General features: G+C 34.1%; 1 protein-coding gene across 5 annotated transcripts in view; it reads right to left on the bottom strand.

Moving 5' to 3' along the window:
- Positions 544-10,257, bottom strand: part of SMCHD1 (structural maintenance of chromosomes flexible hinge domain containing 1) — a 149,292-nt gene continuing 139,578 nt past the window's right edge. For 3 of the 5 annotated variants that reach the window (XM_011525642.2, XM_047437427.1, XM_047437425.1), the window contains 4 exons: positions 9,454-9,612; positions 9,040-9,154; positions 6,178-6,280; positions 544-3,033 (listed from right to left, as the gene is read on the bottom strand). In XM_011525642.2, the coding sequence (XP_011523944.1) occupies positions 2,926-3,033; positions 6,178-6,280; positions 9,040-9,154; positions 9,454-9,612 (485 nt within the window). In that variant the 3' untranslated portion in view covers positions 544-2,925. Of the gene's footprint in view, positions 3,034-4,820; positions 5,039-6,177; positions 6,281-9,039; positions 9,155-9,453; positions 9,613-10,257 lie in introns of all 5 variants that reach the window. The other 2 variants (XR_001753172.2, NM_015295.3) reach the window with 2 other exon arrangements.

Below are 10,257 nucleotides of genomic sequence, written 5' to 3'. Positions count from 1 at the left end.
AGCGTTTTTGGCTGCGTTAGTCTGCTTGCTGAGCTTGGAGGTGGAAGTGAGTAGTCAGTCTTGGTTCAAACTACCACAGATTCTCATCTTCCTTACTGAATTTTTGTAAATGTTCTTGAATAGATGTTTCTTCATTGCCATTTGTCCTCAGGACCATTTCCAGAAGTTTTAAATGGTTGTTTTTAATATTTTTCACCAGTTTCACAGTATGAAAATTAAACATTCAATTTTTTTACTAAAATGTATTATTTGAAAATTCTATACTAAAAATACAATGGAATTAACCCCATCAATTTCATAATGACTATAAAGTAATCAAGTCACAGAGCCAAAGTATAGACAGTTTAGAAGACTGAACTTTCCTTAGCACTAATATTTAACAATAGGAGCCAATTTCACTTAAAATAATCTGAATGTTATATATGCAACAAATTTTAGTCTCTGTAAAGAATCTTATACCAAAAACCCTATAAAAATGTTAAGTAAATTGAGCCTATTTTTACCATAGGCCTGGCCAAATGTACACATGAAAACTGATGAACGTAATGTGCAAAAAGGCTTGGAGAGAGTTTTATTTCAGTTACTTCAAAATACAAGTAGGCTATTATTTTCCTTTGGAAGAAGAAACCAGAAAAAAAACTTCCTGATTGTAACATTGTGACAAATTTCAGATTATATAACACATAACACAGGATAAATGGCTGTAGCATTAATTTTTTTCTCCAGTTACATTCCTTTATACTAAAAGACTAGTATTAAATCTTAGAAGAAAATTTCAATTGTTCTTACGTGTTACATATTAAACACAAAAGCAATTTATTATTATTTGGTACAACATGAACCTCAGTATTTGCTCAAATGTAGAAAAGGATTCCTTAATATGCTGAGAAATATCCTTAGATAAATCCAACTGTGAAAATATAGAAAAACTCCTTACTGTAATTACTGGGAACCACAAAGTTAATTTTTACAGGGTAGAAAAACTCCACAAAAATGGAGATTCATACTTAAAAACCTTCTTTTACTGATAGAACATTCTTTCTGGTATTATAAAATGAACAAAAGTGTACAGATATGGGCTTGGGGCTAGATAATATCCATAGAACTCGCCATTTTAAGCAATAAAAATTGGCATGTGGGTGCATGCCTGTAATCCCTGCTACTTAGGAGGCCAAGGCAGGAAGACTGCTTGAACCCAGGAGTTCAAGACTAGCCTGGGCAATGTAGTGAGGCCACTGTCGCTCAAGGGAAAAAAAGACATGTTTTTAAACACACTTCTAATAAAAAGAATTTTTAAAACCAACTTTTTTGCTTCTAGATAGTCTCAATGCCTTGGATTTAAAACATGACTCCTTCTTGATACAATGAATTATAAAAGCAAACTAGTTCCACATATTAATTATACGTTCAAGTCTAGTTCCTAAAAAGTCATTTCTCTTTAACCTTTCTTACCTATCAATCAATCATTTTCATATAATCTAATGTCTAAGGACTCCAAATATTGGTACGGGGTGAGTATCCCTAATCTAAAAGTCAGAAACAAGAAATGTTCCAAAATTCAAAACATTTGAGCGCAGATATGACACATAAGGGAAATGCTCATTGAAGCATTTCCAATTTCTAATGAAAGATTTTTGGATTAGGGATGCTAAATTGGTAAATATAATGCAAATATTCCAAAATAATAATTTAAAAACCCCACAAAAAACCAAAATCCAAAACACTTCAGGTCCCAACCATTTTGAATAAGGGATACTCAACCTGTAGTACCATGGGAGCCAATCTTCCCCACAGCTAATTCTGTAATTACCATTTTGTTTCTTCTGTAACAACAAACAGTTTAAATAATTTCCAATTATAAAGATAGATAGGTTAACATCATCATCGTTTTTTAACAAGATAACTTTTATGAAGCTTCCAATTTTAAAAAAGAAAAACACTTATCTATTCAGTAGGGAAGAAACAATCTTATTTATTAATGGCCTGCATATTTAGAAAGGGTTTAAAAACACATACATTTCCTGGGACACAAACTTACTTACCAAATGTATGTCCTTACAAAATAACTTCACAGATCAATAGTCTTGAACTTACACAAAGACATATATATGACATACATTAGGTTAATATACATTTCAAATGTTTTTGCAGCAACTTTCTACCAGAAAGTACACTAATGTGAGAATGTATGTTCTCTTTAACCCCTTAAAAATAGTAATAAAAAATTACAAAATAATGTAAATGTAAAATTAAGGCTGAGACTACATATTCTAGTATTAATAAAGTCAAACAAACAATAGTTATAAAACTTGGTGCTGCTGAATATTTTATATATATATATTTATATATATATATATATATACACACACACACACACACAGGATAAGTCTTTTGAAATTTGAAATGCTACCACTGTCACAAGTTCACTCATTGATTTAATGTTGTTCTGGGTATCTTAACATTTCAATTCCCAAATACCTGTGCTTTTAAAATTTTTATCCTGAATTCTGCATTGAGTTTCCTCACATATTTACAATTAAACATCTAGCCTCTAGAACCTCCCTTACACAAAAGACAAAACATCTTTGTTAAATAAATTCACGCAAAAGTAATAAAAAGGTTTTCAAGAAATAGTTCTGACATGTTCATTATATTTATACTGAAAAATAGTACATGTACTTTTCTTCAGGATTAATAAATGCCATGTGCCAGTTTTACAGTCACTGCCACATTAGCACATTTTCCTCTTACACATTTGCAAGGTAGTGACAACCAAAGGGCATAATGTCTGGAATAATTCCAGTAAATCCATAATGTCCAGTAAGATTCATAAAATTGAATGGTTGTTTCCAGTCCCATCTGAATCGAAATGGAAATTCATGCCCAGGTACTTGTATTGTCCCCAGAAATACTCAGTCTGGTAAGTCACCCTCTTGGTCTTCTGAAACAGAGATGCAGAAAGCAGGGCATTCTTACTGAGACCAATGGCCTCTTCTCTCTGTCACCTCTCATACATCTGTTTTGGTTATAATCCTGGTCAAAGGGGAAAGAAAAAAAAGTTTTATGTACCAAAGGTTTCCTTTCCCTGAATTCCCTCATCACACCTGAATGCTTAAATATCCAATGAAACCATATTCTTTTAAATATAATTCTTGGTATAAACAGATTTAATTAAATCCTTATATATAATCATTTCCTTCACATGTATGCAAAACAAGCCCCCAAATAAAAGTAGTTAACACACACACAGTATATAACATATATAAGTAATTTGTATCACAGTGCTTTGAAATGGTATTATCTCAGACCTAAATTCTGCAGATTTTTCCTTTCACCCCCTTTTCCTTAAATGAACTTATTATTTTAAGAACAGGAATTATAATGCTTATTACAGAAAAGTAACAAAGACAAGCAAAATAAAACATTTAATATTCATAATCTCATTCATGTAGAGATGAACACAGTGAGCACCTTGACATATATAGCTACAGATTTTAAAAATTCAGGTATATGTAAATATTTTCTAATAGTTCCCTGAACTATCTCCAAATAGAAGATGATACATATTTTTAACAGAACTAATTTTTAATCTTTATAAGTGGAAAATTATTTAGAAAACTGAAGCCTCTATTCAAGAAAACAATGGAATCTACTGCATAGTATCATATATTGCTAAGCATATCTAATGAATTCTAAGATATTTTTTCACACTTAACATCTCTGAAATCCAGATGTACTTTATAAGGTCATGAGTTAATTTGCAATATTTTTCTTTAATGTTTCATAAAATGACATTTTTATAGTTAATGAAATCTTAAAGTTGATGAAACATAGTATGTGATCTATAAGCAGTAACAAATATATATTCAGTATACATATGTAAATAAAAACATAAACATAAATATACAGAAACACATATAATGTACCTATTTCCTTTCCTACTATTAAATTTGTTCCTGATTGTATGGATGAAATATACCAATATTCAATACTGTTAAGATTTTTATTTCAAATGCTCTGACCTCTTGAGAGTGTGAGATTTATTAAAGATTTATAGAGAATAGGAAAAGACTGAGGATGAGAAAATCCCTCATAGTGATTTTAACAAATTTCATGAATATAATCAGGATGCAAAGAGGAGAAAGTCGCAGTCCAGAATACACCAAATTTTCCACCTAAACTTCTAATACCGCCATCACAAAGCTAAACAAATGATAGCTTTGTGTGTGTGTCTCCCCATGTACTAAAGGCTGCACTGAAAATATGGTTCTTTGGCTTCTCTAAAATCACTGACACTCTTTCTCCCTCTCCTTGATATGATACAGTATTACTATGAAGTATCTTAGTGAGTATTTTGTCAGTCACTGTTGCTGGGCATTCAATGAATTTTATTCATCCCTAGGAAATCCTCTTCCACATGATAGCATTTCCTTCTCCATTTTCTTCTTTCTAGATTCCTAATAGTCTGAATTGGTTCTCTATGTCTTCTATCTCTTTTTGTATTGGGGAAGTTTTCTTTTTGGACTTTAATCCTCCTATTGAACATTTTTATTTCAGCAACAATATTTGTAATCTGTTTATTCATTCTTGTCCTGGCTCCTTTCTGCTACATAGTAATTATAATTTTATAAAAGAGGTCTAGTCTCTTTACTAAATTGTCCTCCATGTTGATTTTGGAACTTAATCTTGAATTTTGTCTCTCACGTTGCTGGCTACCCTCATATGTGTGATGACTGTTAGTTGTACAATTACATTTAAGAAAGAGGATTACATTGCTAGCTGGAATTTCTTCTACTATTATAAAAATAGAACTGTTTTACCAACAAGTCTCTTCTCCGAGTGGGACTTGATGGTAACTATAACTGGGATAGGGCAAATCAACGTCATGGGTCCACAGGTTTTGCTTTAAACATGTGGATGTTGGGCCGAGCATGGTGACTCAGGCCTGTAATCTCAGTACTTTGGGAGGCCGCGGCAGGAGAGTAGCTTAAGCCCAGGAGCTTGAGACCAGCCTGGTCAACACAGCAAGACCCCATCTCTACAAAATAAATAAAGTAAAAATTGTTGAATTAAAATCAAAATAGATAAATGTGCAGGTGCAGAGCCAGTTATCAGCCTTTTAGTTCCCAGAGGCCAGCATTAGGTCCTAGTGTGCCAGCAACTACCAAAAGCCAATATACCAACATTTAATTCATTTCCATTGTTATCTAACTTTGTAGTGGCATCTTTTCATGCCTGTTGACAAGGAAACAAAGCTTTCAAAGTTTGGGTTGAAAATCTGGTACATTCTAGGCTGTGGCTTCCTTTCCTTTTCCATTCTGTTCCGTCCTTTTTATTTGCCACTCTCCCTGTTTGGGAGACAGGACTCCCAAACAGGGAGAGTTGCTGGACTTCTCACTCTTTTGTTCTAACTGACTCTGAATCCAAAGTGTTTCTGGGGCTAAATCAGGCAGACTGTCTCCTATTATTTCTAGACTATTTCCCAATCCCTTCACCTCTAGTATATTCTAGCCTTGTTTCTATCCTGTTATCTCCAGAAAACCTCAATCAAACGTGAACGCAAAATGAAGACATTTTTCGGACATAGAAGGGCTCCAAGTTATCTTTCTACACATTTTTTCTAAGGAATTTATAAGAGAGAGAAAGACATGGAATCCAATAAATAATGGATATAATCCAAGAGAGTAACTAAGGAAGACCCAGGATGGCAGATTTACAGGAGGCCTGCACAGTTACTAGTCACTGGTACAGGAGGAAGAAGATGTGATTAAGATACATAGGGAAAGAAAAAAAAAGGTGGCAATTAAAAACTCCAGAAAAATTAACAAGAAAGAGTCTTAGTAACAATTGGAATAACACTTCACGTGATTTTAAGAATAACAGAGTAAGGAAGATTTATTTGAGCCTGATGTTTGGAGCACTAACTGGTGGCCTAAGTAAGAGTCATGACATTAGACCCATATAGAGAAGGAAGTGTAATTCTAGCACACAAGTTTGCTTAGTACAATATTTGCCTGAACAATATTTACATAGTCATAATAATGTAACTTTTAAAAGTGGAGGCAACAATAGAGTAACTAAAAATTAACAGTTAAAACAAAGGTTGCCTCTGAAGGATGGAATAGGGGTAAGGATGCATAGGATACAAGATTTTACGATCATCAGCTCTTTCTATACCTGTGCAGTCCAAAACGGTAGCCACCAGCCATGTGTGTGGCTCCAGAGTACTTGCAACGTAGCTAGTCCTAATTGAGATTTGCTGTCTTCTGAATTGTGAAGACTTTGTATTTAAAAAAAAAGAATGTAAAATAGCTCATTAATCATTTTTAACGTTGTTTACATGTAGAAATATTTTGGATATTGGGTTCAATAATATCTATTATTAAAATTAATCTCACTGTTCCTTTTTTCCTTTTTAATATGGCTTCTAGAGAATTTAAAATTATATATGTGACTCACGTATAGTACAACACTGTAAATCTATACCATTTGATATATACACATATGACCGATGATCATTATACTACTAACAATATTATAAACTAAAACATAAACTCCCTCTGAATTGCTACAAAATCTTAATTAACAAGTTCCAAATCAATGTCCACAGTAGCGCTGTAGTAACTGGAAGGTCTAGGGCAAATTTAGTGCTGAGACTGTGGCACAAAAACATGTACCTTACATCTTAGCCTAGAACTGCACCTTGAGGAATTTCCTTAGTGGGAAGTGGGTTCTGGTCTCTCTAAAAAATAATCCCACTGTTCATAAAATACTTCTTTAAAAAATTATGGCAAACCTATATAAAAGCAGAGGGAATAATACAGTGAATTTCCTATTTCAAGCTTTAGTAATGAAAACATTTTGCCAAGTCTTATTTTGATATCCTCTGCCACTTTATTTTCCTGGAGTATTTTAGAGTATATCCCAGACACCATATTATTTAACCAATATAAGAACTTTCTACAAAGAATAACTTTTACAAAGAAGAACTTTCTGTAACTATTTGGAAACCTGGAAGATAGTTCATACACATGTCTTTTCTATATAAATACATAAATTTTCACAGTCACAAGCAGGTGCCCTACCAACCAGCAATGATGACCAATAAGGGATTTTTGCGTCATTTTGAACTCATAATTTCTAAAAGTTACATGTCTAAATCCACTGCAAAGAGTCTTTCTTTCTGATGCTAAACTGCCCCAACACACTTTGAATGATCAGCTTAATAGTCTGTATACACCTCATGCCCATGAACACATCATTCACATGCCTACATGTGTGATACTCAAGAGATATCAATGAACTTAAAATAGATTTTTTTTGCAACATGATGAGGGAGGAGTTTCATAATCTGGCCTCTGCCTCTATGTCCGACAATAGTTTGGTCCTCTCCCTCTTGCATACCATACCATGCCTTAGACACTAACATCTTTTCAGTTCCTCAAACATGCCACACCTGTTATTTTCTTAGAGCATCATGCCTCCTTCCCAACCTCTGACTGAAACCAATCCCTATATGGCTGGTTCCTTCCCATCCTTCAGTTCTCTGTTTCAATGCATCTCTCCAGACAACTGATATTGTTTCCCTATTATTTTCTATTACTTCATCATTTTTTCATTCCCTATTTTCTTTCTTTTTTTTTGAGACGGAGTTATGCTCTTGTTGCCCGGACTGGAGTGCAATGGTGCGATCTCAGCTCACTGCAACCTCCGCTTCTTGGGTTCAAGCAATTCTCCTGCCTCAGCCTCCCGAGTAGCTGGGATTACAGGCGTGCGCCACCATGACTGGCTTATTTTTAGTAGAGACAGGGTTTTGCCATGTTGGCCAGGCTGGTCTCCAACTCCTGATCTCAGGTGATCCACCTGCCTCGGCCTCCCAAAGTGCTGGGATTATAGGCATAAGCCACTGTAATTCCTTACAAATAGAAAAAAGTTTACTTTTTAAATTGTCCCTCTACTGCATAGAATTACAGAATTCCAATGGAGGCAAGAACCATGTCAGTTTTATTCACCCAGCAACATACAACACAGAGTGAGATTTCAAATCTTTACTGAATAAATGTAGAATACGCAGATGAATATGGCAAAGAATACCAATTCCAAACACCATAGTTTCAAGGGAATTCCTCTACGGTTGATATGAGAAAACATATTCAGGTAGAGTCTACAATTAAACCTTTTGAAATAATAAAAGAGAAACACCAGTACCATGATATCCTTCTGTGGGATGACTTTACTAACATTTAATCTAAAAGGGACAGTTTTCTTACTATGAAGTTAGGGTGGAAATAGCTGTGTTGGTTTTTTGGTGATCTAAATGGCCAAAATGGTTTGGTGATCTGATTCTCCAAACCAAAAATTATAAGCAATTTTAAAATAAGTGATTTACAAATGGTTTTGCATATTCTATACTTATTAAGTTACTGATCCTCTGAAAGAGAATGCAATGAGCCAAAAAATAGACAAGCAATTTGACTCTTAACAATCACTTTTAACATAAAATATAAACATTTCTAAATAATTAGCACAAGTTATTTAGAAGATTGAGTATCCTAAGAAAACATAATGCTTAAGTTTTATCTTCATTATTACTTTATTTTTTTTAATTTAAAATATTAATTCTGGCTCAAAGGAAGAATTAGACATGAACTCATACTGTTTTTAAAGTATGATGACCAAGTCAGATGCAGTGGCTCACACCTGTAATCCCAGTACTTTGAGAGGCCAAGACAGGCAGACTGCTTGAGGTCAGGAGTTTGAGATTAGCCTGGCCAACACAGTGAAACCCCATCTCTACAAAAAAATACAAAAAATTAGCCAAGCATGGTGGTGCATGCCTGTAATGCCAGCTACTCGGGAGGCTGAGGCACAAGAATCCCGTGGGCCTGGAAGGCAGAGGTTGCACTGAGCCAAGATTGTGCCACTGCACTCTAGCCTGGGCAACAGAGCAAGACTTCATCTCAAAAAAACAAAGCTATCATGAGACCCAAGAACTTTGGTAAACTAACCAAGCATAATTCTCAGGTCAAACAAACTCACCTATTTTGTCTTGTAGCTTCTCGTCTCATTCTTTTAGGAGGAACTGGACAATCTGTCGTCTCAACCTTTGGTGAATGACGCAATGAGTCATTACACTTACGTATGGGAGTCATACCTGTGAAGATGGAAAATGTAGAAAGTTAAATTTACAATAAAAACAATGGAATTAGAGAAATGCAAACATGAATATGTCATAATTTATAGAAAAAGAATTAAGAAAGTATACTGAGAATGCCTATTACTTCTGGTGAAAGAATAGTTTATAACCATTTATCAGATAGGACTTGGAGGTTAAGAGTTTTTGTTAAGTTCTGAATCATTTGCATTCTTTTTTCTTACGGTTGGATTCTCTCTCATCATAAATATTTATCTCCATATAAAGAAAGTAGAAGTTAACAAAAAGCAAAGACTTACCTAGTTTTTCCTCTATTAGTTTGAGATTTTTCTCATGTTCATCAAGTTCTTGCTTTTTCTTCCTCATATCCGGAGTGCGAAGGTACTCTAATTGACTGTTAAGATCCTTATTCACACTGTCTAGTTTGCACACAGCAGAACGATACTGCTGAAGAAGATCTGTAAAGAAACCAAATGCATTTGATTAAATTACTGCTATTAAACCAAACTCATGTTTTAGGGGAAAAAATGAGCAACACTGGAATTTGTGTTATGGTAACATAGGGGATCTACTTTTAAAGCCATAAAACATTCAATATAAACAAATGAAATAAAAAAGCATAGTTAAGATCCCAGCACAAAATTGTTAAATTTAATTTTCTTTGTTTGACTTAAGTTTACTTCTGTGTCAGGGAAGAGTTCTCTATATAAAAGTGCTCTGTTTTTTATTGGATCACTCTCTCAAGCCAGTGTTTATATCTTGTCTGATATTCAGTATTCAATATAATTCCATGTGGACAAATTTTGCAGGGAGAAGGCAAATACATTAAATATTGTGTTGTTAGAAATCACTATTTCCCAAATGAAAACTGATGAGTAACAGGGGGTTTCTAATAAAAAGATGTGTAAGTGTAACTGACAGTGAGCATGCTGTGGTTCAAACTTGGCAGCAATGCAACTCATTAATTGTTCTTATTTTTTGTACTGTAAAAAAAGAAAATCATCGCTTCCAAAAAGCATGACTATTATTTTTAAACACAGAATTTTTAGGCTGGGCATGGCAGTTCACGCCTGTAATCCCAGCACGTTGCAAGGTTCCAAGGC

This window comes from Homo sapiens, chromosome 18 (genome assembly GCF_000001405.40).
Source record: "Homo sapiens chromosome 18, GRCh38.p14 Primary Assembly".
Lineage (NCBI taxonomy): Eukaryota > Metazoa > Chordata > Mammalia > Primates > Hominidae > Homo > Homo sapiens.
The sequence above is the reverse complement of the archived record's forward strand: the minus strand, read 5'-3'. Positions and strand labels throughout refer to the sequence as shown.